The 14567-nt window shown below is 51.6% G+C and overlaps 1 protein-coding gene and 1 long non-coding RNA gene across 2 annotated transcripts in view, besides 5 other annotated features; both read right to left on the bottom strand.

Annotated features, from left to right (window-relative positions):
* The window catches only part of RIN3 (Ras and Rab interactor 3), a 175214-nt gene extending 168601 nt beyond the window's left edge, over positions 1–6613 (bottom strand). The window contains exon 1 of the mRNA NM_024832.5: positions 6418–6613. Coding sequence (NP_079108.3) covers positions 6418–6461 — 44 coding nt within the window. The 5' untranslated portion in view covers positions 6462–6613. The remainder of the gene's footprint in view (positions 1–6417) is intronic.
* LOC124903365 (uncharacterized) lies at positions 4883–6020 on the bottom strand. The gene is made up of 2 exons (XR_007064310.1): positions 5798–6020; positions 4883–5230 (listed from the first exon to the last, which is right to left on the bottom strand). It is a non-coding gene; the product is annotated as an uncharacterized LOC124903365 (long non-coding RNA).
* Positions 5564–6067: an enhancer, noted in NCBI's record as "H3K27ac-H3K4me1 hESC enhancer chr14:92980671-92981174 (GRCh37/hg19 assembly coordinates)". NCBI's record gives its function as "activates a minimal SCP1, AML or CMV promoter by ChIP-STARR-seq in naive H9 embryonic stem cells {active_cell/tissue: H9 hESC(naive)}" and the evidence as "EXISTENCE:reporter gene assay evidence [ECO:0000049][PMID:30033119]".
* Positions 5564–6069: a biological region, named in NCBI's record as "H3K27ac-H3K4me1 hESC enhancer GRCh37_chr14:92980671-92981174".
* Positions 6020–6069: a silencer, noted in NCBI's record as "silent region_6036". NCBI's record gives its function as "represses an Ori minimal core promoter by ATAC-STARR-seq in GM12878 lymphoblastoid cells {active_cell/tissue: GM12878}" and the evidence as "EXISTENCE:reporter gene assay evidence [ECO:0000049][PMID:35858748]".
* Positions 6100–6149: a silencer, noted in NCBI's record as "silent region_6035". NCBI's record gives its function as "represses an Ori minimal core promoter by ATAC-STARR-seq in GM12878 lymphoblastoid cells {active_cell/tissue: GM12878}" and the evidence as "EXISTENCE:reporter gene assay evidence [ECO:0000049][PMID:35858748]".
* Positions 6690–7009: a silencer, noted in NCBI's record as "silent region_6034". NCBI's record gives its function as "represses an Ori minimal core promoter by ATAC-STARR-seq in GM12878 lymphoblastoid cells {active_cell/tissue: GM12878}" and the evidence as "EXISTENCE:reporter gene assay evidence [ECO:0000049][PMID:35858748]".

Below are 14567 nucleotides of genomic sequence, written 5' to 3'. Positions count from 1 at the left end.
CTCAAAGGCCCCACTCCCACCCCCCTCTACTGGAATCCTTGCTTCCCCATGGCTCCAGGCCTGTGTGTAGAGCCAGGCTCTGGGGCTCTCTCAGTTCCAGAAGGTGGGGATGCAAGCACCATTACCCCATAGGATGTGGCCTGAGTGTGTGCCGTCACGTCACTTACAGACAACAGGCCTTGACCACAACCACGGCCTAGGCCATTTCTGCTAAAAAGAGAACCGACATTTCATTGCAGGCTCGTTCATTCCATTAAACATGTACTGGTTGAGGTGGGGGCACCCCTGGGTATTACTGAGGTCAAATTGGGGCAGGGGGTTCTGCAGCCATGTTCAAAGCTTCTGACTATCAGCACTGTTTCTGCTTTGGGGGCAGTCCCTCCAACCCCTACCCCTGTGGAGAGGAAACATGCCAAGGCTGCACAGAGGCCCTACTGGCAGGAGAGTAGAGGAGAGGACACAGTGGTGGCTTCCAGACTCTTGTATAAACGCTGACACCACACAGATAGTAATGCCTTCCCACTGCCCTGTGGACGCCAGGCTGAGGGAAGGCCTCCCATGTACCCGTCACTCCTCTCTTCTCCATCAAGGCCACGCTGGCAGGAGGGACGGACTGGCTTCGCTGTACTACACTGTGCGTGGGGAGGGAGGCACACAGCGTCACTGCCGCCCCCACCTGCACAGGGACGCGTTGGCTATCTCTGGGCAGCCCTGGGCAGGGAGACCGAGGCCTGGCAGAGAGCGCCATCCCTCAGCCTGGACACCTGTCTCATCCTCTGTTGGTAGGGCCGCCCCTCAGACTCCAACCCTGACAGGGGCAGGCTTCACAGACGGTCTCTAAACAGCCAGGCCCCGTATCCCCGGCTGTCTGCGATCTCCTCAGCACCTCCACAGCTCCCACAGCTGATGGCCAGGCAGGCTCCACCTTACCAGCCCAGCCACCCTCGAGAGGCTACTCCAGCCACACCAGGGCTCCCCGCCTGAGAAACCTTCCCAGCTCACTGTCCACTTGGCAAGGAGCCATGGGTCCTGCCCCAAAGTGGGCTCCCAAAACCAAATGTACTTTTTTCAAGACTAGGTTTTTCAAAATAAAACCACAGCAATAACAAAAAGAAAAAGAAAAACCATTTCCTTCCAGGTAGCTTGGTCAGGGTAATGAGCCAAAAGTCTCCTGGATGGGTCTTTGTTTCTTGTGAAAGTGCCTGCATGTTCTAGACTGTTCCATGGGCCACTTCAGCTCCAATGGGCACTTTGATCCCCTGAATGCTATTACTCTAGGACACCAGCTTCCGTTGCCTGCTAGCTGGTAACTCAGGGAGCCGACTGTCAGAGCGAGCAGGGACCTTGAGAACATGGAGCTCTTTTCTCAGATGGGAAAATGAGGTCCAGAGGGAAGGGAGCAGCTTCCTAGAATAAAATCCTAAAATACTAGAGGAGACAGGACCCCAGATTCTCTAGCCCTACTGATGACCTACAACATGCAAACACCCACGCCTCTTCCAAACCAGCAAAGGACAGTTCTGCCTAAGAAAAGACACGTTGGCAGCCATGGCTGACACTGATGCTGACACACACACACACACACACACACACACACACACACAGGCCACCCTTATTTTCCCAGTTTCTCAGTGGTCCAGAGACCCGCATTTGGGACCCACTGATGCCCCAGGGCTCCCCCAAGTCTGTACACCAAGCTATTCTCCATTCTTCCGGCTGAGACACAGTATCCAGGGCTGGCCTCTCCTTCCCCCATCCTTTCTCCCTGACAAGTATCAGGAGCACAGCTGGGGAGGATAAAATTAGGGGAGTTGGGGCCAAGCAGGGTCCCTACTCAATTGCCTGGGTGGCCTCTGCTTTCCAGACTTGGAGAGGAGTGTGGTAGCCTTGTGGTGGGGGTCACCAGCTGCTGCGGAATGGAGTTGGGCTCCTAGCCCCCCAAGCCCTGGGTCTCCCCCTACTTAGCCCCGCCCTGTGATCTAGGCCACCTTGTAAACACCTCCAGAAATTCAGGGGCTCCAGGGACACAAAAGAAAAGGCTGTGCAGCCTTCAATCAGCGTATCATTGGCCTCAAGCATTTATGGAGTGCCAAGTGCATGTAGGACACAAGGATATGGAACTAAAAGACCTGACCCCTTTCTTTGGAAGTTTGTAACTGAAGTAGGAAGTCATGATATTAAAGAGGTTTTGGCTTCTTTCAAATTGCTAGGCAAACAAGCGGTTCATGTGAAAAAGGCTATGAATATTCAAAAAGGAGGAATCTCTGTGAGCTGGCATGGATAGAAGGCTACATGGAAGAGGTGAGCCCTGTAAAAAGGGCAGAAAGAACCTCATGGGCAAAGGTACAAGACCACAGACAAGCTCTGCACGTTGGAGAGGACAGAAGATGTGAAGCTGTACACTGGCTTCCAGCAGGGCTGGGCTGGGGTACAGAGGGCAGGACTTTCTTGAGGGACCTTTTAAATAGGACAGCATGTCACCTGAGGGCAATTAGGGAGCTGTTGGGGGACACACCACTTTCCCTGCCTGGCCTGAGAGTCCCTCTAGCTTGATTGGCAACAACCAAACCACCAGAAGGGCCCACTGTGGGGTAGGACGGAGGGGAGATCCAGTTTGGAAGTCATTAAAGTTGTGATTTTCATCTTTGGCTCCAATCTTGGGGGAAAACATCCATGTTTCAGACACTCCTGGTGGGCAGGAGAAATTCGACTTCCTGGTTCTCAGAATAAATGCTGGTTCGGGGCAATAGTTGTATCAACAGGACATTCTGGAGTTGGCCATCAGAGCAGCACCAATCAATTACCCAATAACAAGATGATAACGCATGGCCCCCCACTCTCTTCTAAAGGTTACTCCCTAATAGGATCAGATAGCTGGGGGCCAACAGGAAGTTAAGGGGCCTTGGGTGTCATTTACCCCATGTTAAGGCTCTTTCTGAACACACAGATGCCCCCAATCCCCTAGGTGACCCAGGCCCCAAGGATGGGGTTCTGTGGGCAGCCCCCTTTATACTTTTGCCCCTCTTCTGTAATTCTCTCCCCAGACAAAATTTGTCTTCCGTTTCCTCAACCCCTGTTATCTGATAACAGTCGCTTTGTAAAGCAATGTGTGTCATGTACCTCTGGGTTTTGAAGGGTGCACTCCCTGCCCCACAAGCCCCTCCACCACACTTTCCCACCTCCCGAACCTTTGCTCAGGCACTCCCCTCCTCCGAGCTGCCCACCCAATGGTGCTCACTCATCACTGCCTAGATGACACAGCTTGCCATGTCTTGCCATGACAGGTGGAATCTTCCAGGGGGTTACAGAGACAGAGTTTGTGGCCATCTGTCACCCATTCTTTCCGTCTCTGCTCTGGCAAGGGACTGGGAGGCACCACAGACCACCTCAGACTCCTGTCTCCAAAATGGAGCTCCAGGGAGGCCTAAGGGGATGGTGAAGGGTCTGGGTGTCCTCCTTCAAATATCATGCCTCTCTCTGCTTCCAGCTGAGATCAATTCCTGGTAGGTTTCCAGTTTTGATTTCTGTATCTCCTGGGTTAAAATGCGGGTGCCCTGTGGCATTTCAAGCTTTTCACACTTGCAGCTTCAGTGAAGATCACAGATCAGGGACCCAGGGCCAGGATAGAGGGGCACCAAGGGGGTAGGGGAGATGAGGAGGGCCTCAGGGATAAATGTGCTGCGACTCCTTCAACCCAAGGGGACCCTGCACCCCCAGCCCCTTGCACTCCCAGCTGCTTCTCAGAGGATGTACTGGGGCTTCTCGGGGTGGGGGGGCAGGAGAGCAGACTTGAGATGGTGAGGTGACCCTTTGCTCCTGTGCATCAGAGCCTCTGTTAGGATCTGGAAAGGGCTAGGTCTCCTAGCTAAGTGCCAGTCAGGACCTCCAGGGAACATTAGCTCCTTGAATCCAGGAAGCCAAGGTCAAGGGACAGAGCTGGAGCTACGAGCTCACACCCTGAATCCATCACTGGCCCTGCTGTAGGTGGGCCCCACCCAGAAGAGCCCCCTGTCTCAGCCTGGAGTGGTTAAGGGGCTCCTCTTCAGGGCTCCAGCAGGACCCCTGTATTAGATCAGGCCAAGGCTCAGGAGACATGAGTTCCACCACCACCTCCCCCAATACCAGGGAACCCATTTCCCCTTTCTGGGTTTCTGGTTCCTCATTGTTAAATTAGGGGATTGATTAGGTCAATGACAGCCACATTTTTTCCAGCAGTGGAATCCTTTTCCAAATGAAATCTTAAGCAGACCTTTAATATAGCAAAAATGTGAAAAGGTGACTGGTCTAGTTGCTATGGTGGGGCTGCATGGGGGTGCCTGCTAGGTCTCTCCCTACCCCCTGAAAGCTACTGGCCTGAGTGGACTCTGAGAACCCACTCTCAGCAGACTCCGCACAGTTCGGCATCTGTCCCTGATGCACTGGACCCTGGGCAGACAGAGCCCAACCAGAGTCATCCTCCACTCCTCTCTCCCTCCAATCCATCAGCAAATCCTCTACCCTTCAAAGTCCTTCCAACCCAAAAGGTCCTCCAAAACAAAGCCATGTTTTAGCAACAAACCAATATTCATACAGTGCTAGAATGTACCAAGCACAGTTCTAAGCAGGCCTGAACGGATGTTTCCCCTAAGCTGCCTGGGGGCAGCTACTTAGCTATGAACTCAGCCAATCCACGAAACAATTCTATGTGGTGTGTGTTGCTAGCACCCCCAGTTTACAGGTGAGGCAGGGGCCGGGTCATTTGTCTAAGGTTACACATTTGGCAAATGGAGGGATCATACCCAACAAATGATAATAATGGTGATAATTATGATTAAGGGTTTACCATATAGTCTAATGTATTCAACTCTGTGTATTTAGTCCTCAAAACAACTCTAAGGGGTAGTTACTATTATTTATCATTTTATTGATAAGTGAACTGAGATACAGAGAGTTTAAATAACCGACCCAGTAATGAACAAAAAAAGACAAGAGGAAGTGGATCACACTAGGTCATCTCTGGGGAAAATGAGAAGCCGGTGAGGCCAGCGCCCTGGCCCCTCACCTCCCCTTCCTCCCTGAGAAACTCCTCTCCGGCTTCACCCTGCCATCTTGGGTGTGGCAGATACTTGCAAGTGGGTGTGAGGGTTGGGGGGCTCTTCCCCAACGGATTCCCAGTTCTTCCCACCGGATGGTATTTGTCTTTGCAGAGGTCGCTTTCGAGAGAAAGAAACCAGCATCCAGAATTTCCGGGCTGGCAGGATGGAGGGAGAAGAAGGGAAGGGAGACGTTCAGATCTAGATGAGCTTAAGGCCCCCTCCCAGTCCCTCCCAGCTGAGTGAGAGCCAGTCACCTCCAGCTGTCCCCCAGTTCAGGACTGCACAAGATGGGCCCAACTCTCCTGTTTCACAGAGCAGAGAACTGAGGGCCTGGGAGATGAGGTCCCACTGCCAAGCCAGGGAGCGGCAGGGTGTCCATCAGAGAAGTAGGCCCGGGACTTTTAAACCAAAAAGCTGGGAATGGCCTCCCCAGACGCGCTCCTGGGTACCCAGAAATAGGCTTTCCCCGGGAATCCGCCTCCGACCGGGCGTCTCTACAACACCTGAAGCTTCTCAGGACGCCCTCTGAGCTGGGCAAGGCGAGAGGACTTTCTCCCAGAGCCCAGCCCCGAGCAATGCCCGAGCTCGCGAGGTGGGGCTGGGGGCGACAAGGAGGCGGAGCGGGGACTTAGCCACCGGGGACTCCTCTCCAAGTCAGTTCCCAAACCATTCGGCGTCATGCATCCACAGCCCGCGCGCAGCCCGTGCGCCCTGGACCCTACCCAAGCACTAGGCTCGACCAGGGCCGGTCCGAAGGTCACCGTCTACGGCCAGGGCAGAGGGGCGGCGGGAAAAGGGCCCAGTGGACCCTCGGTCCAGGAGGGCCGGTCAGCTGTTGGGCCGCGGGCACCCAAAGTTGCGGGGGTCCGGGTCTCCGACCCCACGCCCAGCGGGGCTCTAGTACCCGAGGGCGCGCGCTGCGACTCGCAGAGCAGCGGGTGCAGCAGGCTGGCGGGGCTGGGACCGCGAGTTTTGTTTGCAAAGTTCAGGCGGGGCAGACGCCAGGGAGGGGGCCGCGTCCACGCGGGCAGCCCCGGCGCTGACAGGTAGCGACGCACTCCCTCGTAATCCGTCCACCAGCAGCCTAAAGTGTGCACTGGGTTCCCAGTGAAATGCCTGGCCTTGAAAGTTTAGCCAACATCGGGTCCAGCGGAGTCACCAGGGCCGCCCCCTGCCCCGCAGAACCAGGTTCTGGCCTCGGCCACGGTGGGGGTCCCGTATCAGCCCGACAACCCCGAGGTCACGCGCCCGAAGGACTCTCTGGGACAAGAAGTGGAGTGGGGCGGCCAGGACGCGGGCCGTGGGGATCGCGAGGGAGGAGGGGGCGGCCGCCCGGACTTACCCCGTGGGGTCCCCGCGCGCGGGCGCCCCGGCGTGTCGGATCATGCCGCCGGCAGCTCCGGGACGGGGAACGGAGGCGCTCAGGCGCCGGGCCGCGCGGAACGCGGAGTCCCGGGCGCCCGCATGTCCCTGGCTCTGGCCCTCTGGAAGGGCCAGGCCGCCGCTGCCGCCGCGCTCTGGGGCTCTCGCTCCCTTCTACTTCCTGTATCGGAGCGAGCGGGGCTTTCAGGAAGAGGCTGGCCTTGGTGGTCAAGGGTTTTTTTGTCAAAAGCCATTCGGCAGCGGCTCGCGGCCCGGAGCCCCCTGGGGCACACGGAGGCCCGGGCGGCCGCGCCCCCGGGGCCGGGCCTCGGGGCGGGGGGTGCTGGGGCCAAGGCGCCGCACGGGCGCCCAACCTCGGGGTGCCGCCTCCACAGGCTGTGGCTGGGGCTGGGGCGCGGGAGGCCCGCGGGGCTTCGGAGAGGGAAACTTAGAGAAAAGTCTTCCACTTGGCTTGGGGCCGCAGGGGAAGGAAGACGCCCTCCGCCTGTGCCGGCGCCGACCGCGGGCCGGCAGGTGGGGAGGCCCAGAGCTGGCGGGGAGTTCGTCCCACTCGGAGCCACAGCCTTGCCCGAGGGAGCCTCGAAATCGTTCAAGGGCAACCTCAGACCAGAGCCAGGGCGCCTCCTCCACATTCCTGACAGATGTGCACGCCGCCTCCTCTTGGATGCTTCCCGTGACAAGGAGCTCACTCCTCAACAAGGCGGACTGCTCGTCCATCAAGCCTGGCATCTAATTCACCTGTGCCGGGTACCGCAGATGGAGAACGCCAGACAGCTGACACAAATGCAAGACCCACAGCAACCCCAGGTGGGACCGTGAGGCCTCTTCTAAGTGCCTGGGTGTTCAAAAATGCCTCCCGAGCCCAGTGTTTTCCCAGAGCATTTCCCAGAGTGACTGAGCAGGACTGGACCCTATTAGGTCACCTCAGTCTCATGCAGGATTTCTTTACCTGGCCGCTACTGCCATTTGGGGCCGGCTAATGCTTTGTTATTGGGGCTAATGCTTTGTTATTGGGGCCAGCTAATGCTTTGTTATTAAACCTCCTTCAAAACTGCAGGAGGTTTAACGGTATCCATGGCCTCTCCATGATTCATAAAATACCCATAGCATCAGCCTCTCTCTGTAACGACCAGAAATGTCTCTAGATATCACAAGTGTCCTCCGGGGGCAAAATCGTCGAGGTCTAATACCATCATTTTAGAGATAAGGAAACTGAGGCCTAGAGAGTGGAGGTGACTTGCTCAAGGCCATATGGCAAGTGAGGACCAGACAGGACTGAGCCCAGGGCTCTGGTGAAAGGATCCCCAGGCCTCTCTGCCCTGCTGCTCTCTCCTCACACCCTCCTCCTCCATCTTCCCTGGATTTCCACCAAATCAGCCTGCCTTCTAGAAGTTAGAAAGAAAAGAATTCACATCTGAGCATACACGAAAAGTCCAGCCTTCCCCCTGGGATGTAAAATGGTGCAGCCACTTTGGAAAAGAGTCTAGCAGTTCCTCAAAAAGTTAAACGTCAAGTTAAGCATATGGCCCAGTAATTGCATTCCTAGTTATGTAGCCAAGAAAAATGAAAACATGTTCATGCAAAAACTTATACATGAGTGTTCATGTATAAGTTTATAATAGTATATACTATATATATAGTATATAATACTACTATAAAGAGTAGTATTGTTCATACTAGCCAAAAGGTGGAAACAATCTAATGTCATCAGTTGACAAATGGATAAACACAATGTGATACATCCATACAGTGGAATATTATTAGGCCATGAAAAGGAATGAAGTACTGGCACATGCTACACCATGCATAAACCTCAAAAGCATTATGCTCAGTGAAAGAAGCTAGTCACGAAGGACCACATTCCATTTATATGAAGTGTCCAGTATAGGCAAGTCCAGAGAGACAGAAAATACTCTAGTGATTGTCAGAATCCTGGGGAAGAGAAGAAAATGAGGAATGACTGCTAAGAGTTATGGGGTGATGAAAATGTTCTAAAATTCATTGTAGTGATGGTTGCACAACTCTGGCTACAGTAAAAACCATTGAATTGTATGCTGTAAGTGGGTGAATTGTACAGTATACAAATTATACCTCAATAAAGCTGTTATTTTTTTTTAAGGGGGGGAAAAAGTACAGCCTCCAGGAGGCCACCCTGACTACTCCAGCTCACACCCCTTCCCCCTCTGCCCAGATTCCTACAGGTTCCCTTCGTTAGGTCATAACCACCCCCCACTGACTTTTCCTCTCCTCCAGAGGCTGAATTATTTCCTCCTGGATGGGAATGAGTCATCTCCTCCGCCGTCTCCCTCAACAGGGCTGTAACATGTTTCCAAGGGTTTCAAAGCCCTGTTTGAAAACATGGGCTTTGCGGACAGACCCATGTTCAACTTCAACCCCAGCGGCTTCTGGGTGGGTGGCCTTGAGCAAGTCTCTTCCCAAAGGCTCATCTTGCTCATCTATAAACACAGTGAGTACAAATGAGATGGACAAGAAGACCCCTGCCTCCAGGGCCCCATTATTATTCCTTAGTTGTTTCTAAAACAAGTCTGCAGGCCACTCTCAGGCCTCCCTGGACCCCAGGGAAGCGGTCTATATAACTACTGCACCTAGAACAGTCCTTCAGCCCCCTCCCAGGCTGATCTGAAAGGTTTCCTTCAGCTCCCTGGATCACTGCTGAGAAACACAGGACAAGTCTCTTAAAGCCTGGCTTCCATGGGCCTAGCCCCAATGCTCACCTGCTCTGAGAAGCCAGAATTCCTCAGGTGGACACCAGATGGAGCCCCGCCATGACCCTGTTGCTGATAAATGACCATAGAGGAGACAGTCACAATTCCAAGAATCTGAGCAGCCCCTTTTGGTTGTGGCCCATGGTGCACCTTGGCCAAGCTTGCCCTCTGCTCTCTTCCTGGGTCCTCTTTTCATTCCCAAGTCCTCATGCTCTGAATTCCTGACCAATAAAATGGTTGCTGTTTGGGATATTTTGTTTGGCAAAAGTAGATCATCAGAAAACAGCTCATCTTGCGAGGGTTCCATCTTCTTCTGACCCCCAACAAGGTTTTACATGTCCATTTCCTCCATTTTAAAGATTTGGAGAAATCTTTAAAAGAGAGGCGGACAGAGACAAGCTCTGTTTTTGCAAAATCAATCAGTGTCCTCAGGACAGATGGAAATAAAACTGCACCGACGGGGTAGGGTTGGGGTCAACTGGGAACCAGGCAAAAGGGACAGCCTCTTCTCCGTTCTCACCAACAGCTGTCCAACAGGAATGAGGGCCTGAGCACCCTAGCCCTTACAGTTTAAAAAATGCTGAAAATCTGGCATTTTTAATGGAAAGTTTCCGATTTCTAAACTTTTTTTTTTTTTTTGAGACGGAGTTTCACTCTGTTGCCCAGGCTGGAGTACAGTGGCACCATCTCGGCTCACTGAACCTCTGCCTCCCAGGTTCAAGTGATTCTCCTGCCTCAGCCTCCCCAGTAGCCAGGATTACAGGCACCTGCCACCAGGCCCAGCTAATTTTTGTATTTTTAGTAGAGACGGGGTTTCACTATCTTGGCTAGGATGGTCTCAAACTCCTGACCTCAGGTGATCGACCTGCCTCTGCCTCCCAAAGTGCTGGGATTACAGATGTGAGCCACTGCGCCACTGTGCCTGGCCCTAATTTCTAAACATTGTACTGGCTAAAGAAGCACCTCTGAGAGCCGAGTTGCCCCACAGGGGCTGGCCTGGCATCTGCCTGGATCTCTTACCTCTGCCTGTTCTGAGATTCTGTGTGGCAGGAAGGTGAATCTGACACAGGTATAGGTGTGCCTTGTGGTCCCCATGGGTGGTCAGGGATTCCCCCAGTTCTGGAAGGGAGGGGGCCCAGATAGACATGCTGGGGATCTCTCCCATGGGACAATAGAGACCTTCTTCAGCGTGGCTCTCTGGGATTCTGCCTCATTGTCCCCCCTCTGCAGGTCCTAGACCTCTTTCCCTCCTCTACTGAGAGATCATCCTGCAACTCCCAAGAGTACATGTCTCTATTGCAGCTATACTGAAACTGATCAGCACCTCACAGTCCCAGTTCCCGCTTCTCAGGAGGAGTAATCTCATGGACCCATCTTGGCTGTGAGGGGTGGGCAAACTCAGAGAGAGGGTACTAAGTTGCTGAGAAGACAAACAGCTTTCCAAGCAGCCCCCAAACTGTATTATTGGGGAAGCTTCTTATCTGGTGGAAGCTACTTCAGGGAACACACAAATGATAAGAAAGAAAAACAGTCTTATTGCTAAGTTGGAAAAAGTTTGAGTGGTCTGGATAGAAGAACAAACCAGCCATAACAGTCCCTTCAGCCAAAGCCTAGTCAGAGCAAGGTCTTAACTCTCTTCTATTCTCTGAAGCCTGAGAGAGGTGAGGAAGCTGCAGAAGAGAAGTTTGATGCTAGCAGAGGTTAGTTCATGAGGTTTAAGAAAAGAAGTCATCCTATAACATAAAAGTACAAGGTGTGCAGATCACCAAGGGGTATTTAAAAAAATAAAAATAAAAAATAAAGTACAAGGTGAAGGAGCACGTGCTGATACAGAAGTTGCAGCAAGTTATCCAGAAGATCTAGCTAAGATCACTGAGGAAGGCGGCTACACTAAACAACAGATTTTCAGTGGAGACACAACAGCTTTCTAGTGGAAGAAAATGCTACCTACGGCTTTCACAGCTGGAGAGGAGGAGTCAATACCTGGTTTCTAAGCTTCAGAGGACAGGCTGAACTCTCTTGTTAAGGGCTAATGCAACTGGTGACTTTAAGTTGAAGCCAATGCTCATTTACCATTTTGAAAATCCTCAGGCTCTTAAGAATCATGCTAAATCAACTCTTCCTATAAATGAAATAACATTTCACTATTTCTATAAATGAAATAACATTTCACTATTTCTATAAATGAAATAACATTTCATTATTTCTATAAATGAAATAACAAGGCTTGAATGACAGCACATCTGTTTACTGGTTTACAGTAAAGAGCACATCTGGTTTACTGAAAATTTAAACCCACTGTTGAGACCTACTGCAGAGAAAAAATGATTCTTCTCAAAATATGACTGCTCAATGACAATGCACCTGATCACCTATGAGCTCTGATGAAGATGTACAAGGAGATTAACATTGTTTTCATGCCTGCTAACACCAACATTCATTCTGCAGCCCATGGGCCAAGGAATAATTTAGACTTTCAAGTCTTATAATTTAAGAAATACATTTTCTAAGGCTATTGCTGCCACATATAGTGATTCCTCTGATGGATCTGGGCAAAGTAAATTGAAAACCTTCTGGAAAGGACTCACCATTCTAGATGCCATTAAGAACATTTGTGATTCATGGGAGAAGGTCAAAATATCAGTACTAACAGGAGTATGAAAGAAGTTGATACCAACCCTAGTAGATGACTTTGAGGGGTTCAGGACTTCAGTGGAGGAAGTCATTGCAGATGTGGGAATAGCAAGAGAACTAGAATTCCATGGGCATCCTGAGGATGTGACCGAATTGCTGCAATCTCATAAAATGAATGGATGAGGAGTTGCTTCTTATGGATGAGCAAAGAAAGTGGTTTCTTGAGATAGAATCTACTCCCGGTGAAGACACTGTAAACATTGTTGAAATGACAACAAAAGATTTGTAATATTCCGTAAACTTAGTTGATAAAGCAGCAGCTGGGTTTGAGAGAATGGACTCTAATTTTGACACAAGTTCTACAGTGGGTAAAATGCTATCAAGCAGCATTGCACGCTACAGAGAAATCTTTTACGAAAGGAAGAGTCCTTCGATGCAGCAAACGTTATTCTTGTCTCATTTTAGGAAATTGCCATAGCCGTTCTGACCTTTAGCAACCACCACCCTGATCTATTAGCAGCCATCAACATCAAGGCAAGACCCTCTACCAGCAAAAAGGCTCAGAGGATTTTCAGCATTTTTTGGCAATAAAGCATATTTTAATTTAGGTATGCACATTGGTTTCTCATAATAGATATACTGCTATTGCACACTTAGTAGACTACAGTATAAATATAACTTTTATATGTACTGGGAAACCAAAAAAATACATATGACTTGCACAATAAAGTGATATTCGCTGTATTGAATTGGTCTGGAACTGAACCACCAACGAACCTGCAATGTCTCCGAGGTATGCCTGCACCGCCTAGGAAAACTTAAGTGCCCACTATTGAGAGGTGCTGCAATTGCTAATCATTGCTAATCCTGCTCGCCTGTCTTTTGCTTGGAGGACCAGGACTGCCTCTGACACTTCCTTGTATAGTGTGCTTAGCAAAAAAGATGTTCCATAACTACTTGGGGGTAAGGATGTGATTTGTTTTTGTTTCGCTTCTCCTTTTTGGGGATATTTACTTCCTCTGAAAATCAAATGTGTTCTCAAGTGTGTTTCAGTGTAATAAACCAGGGTGGTTCATTTGAAATTATGGTGTGGCAACAAGCCAGTCAGTTTGAGGGGAAATCTGATCCCACACTGGTCTTCTCAGCCACAGTCCCAGCCTGGGCTTCTGCTGTCATCCCAGGTGGCAGTCTGCAGACAGGTGTGCACTCAGCAGGAGGCTTCTGGGACTTCAGGTAAGAACACTCCCAAATGGGGACTCGCTTCCTTAAAGAGCTGTTGAGGTTGGCTGGGTGCCGGGGTGGGGCAGGGAGGGGCAGAAGCTCTGGCTGCTTTGGAACCACAAGCCCAGGTTCCTGTCTCAGCCCCACTTGCTGGCTGTGTGACCTTAGGCAAGTTTCTTCTTACCCTCTCTGGGCCCAAGTGTTCTCTTCTGGAAGATGGGTAGAGGTATACCTACTCCATGGCTGCTTGTGAGGAGTATATGGAAAGTGGCTAACAGTGTCTGTCACATTGTAAGTTCATGACACATGTCAGTTTCCCTTTACTGATTTATTTTTAATTTTTTTCCTTTATTGATTTTTATAAGAGTAGAACAGATGTCTAGTTGGGTGGGCTCTTCAGTGACTTCTGCCTGGTGCCCTACCCCTGACAGGGGTGCCAAGAGGCATGGTTGGAGAAGTTTGGGTTCAATTCAGCTGCCGCTAATTAGTGAAGCCTTGGACAAGGACCAGATAGGGAGACTCAATGTCCCCACTGCCCAAGGGTCTCGTTGACAGAAGCTGCAGATTCTGACATGCAGGGTGTGGTCCTCATGGGTGACCTTGGCCTATGGGAAGATGTGCTACGAAATGTTTGGGACCCGGTGCAAAATAAAAACACTCACCCCCTCCTGAAAAAAAAGGTACAGATTTCAAGAATTACAGACTGCAACAGCAGAGCATTAAGCCTAGTGCAGGACACTTCTAAGTGTGGGCCCCCTCTAAGCACAAGCTCTGTGCAACTGCATGGGTAACATCCCCAAGAAGACGGCCCTGGCCTGGGATGACTGACTATTTTAGTTTGCTCCAGCCTGAGGGGTTGCACAAGAAGTCCAGTCCCAGCTTGGTCACAGCCCAGTGGCTGCACTGTGTCAGCTCAGCCTCCAGCAACTCACTGGACCCGAAGACCCCTCTGCCACATCCAGCTCTCTGGCCCAGAAGGCCCAAGTCAGCCCCTGCTTGCAGGTCAGCAGCACCACACATGGGAAGCTGGCTCCCTGCATGCCCGGCCATGCTGCCCTCCCTTGGACTCTGTGGGCCAGCCCAGCTGGCTTTGACCACCATGCCCAGTGCTTCTTCCAGAGGCCCAAGGGGGAGCATGGCAAGAGCTCTAGGCCCCCTTTGCTTCCCACAGCTTTTCTCTCACACACTCTTCCTTCCACAGCTGAAATCCCGGAGAAGGCAGTTTGAGAGGCTCCCATCCCATCTCCTCTTCCATCCCCAAGCCCCAGGGCCAAGCCTCAAGGTGGGCAGCTGTCTCCCACATTGTAGGAGAAACCTTCATCCCAGGCGCCCAGGCTTGAGGCACTCACGAGGCTCCAGAATCCCCTTCACGCCCAAGCCCAGTGTTCAAATTTTAAGAGGTCCAGATCATGCCCTCCTTCACCCTGGGGAGACCAGCCTTCTGGAGAGAAGGCAGCAAGGGAACAAGAGTGGAAGCTTTGAGGGGAGCAGTTCCTCTTTGTTGCACGGTGTCTGTGTTCTGCCTGCC

The sequence above is a fragment of the Homo sapiens genome, chromosome 14, assembly GCF_000001405.40.
Source record: "Homo sapiens chromosome 14, GRCh38.p14 Primary Assembly".
NCBI classification, from domain to species: domain Eukaryota; kingdom Metazoa; phylum Chordata; class Mammalia; order Primates; family Hominidae; genus Homo; species Homo sapiens.
Note: the sequence above shows the minus strand (reverse complement) of the source record. Positions and strands in the feature narration are given on the sequence as shown.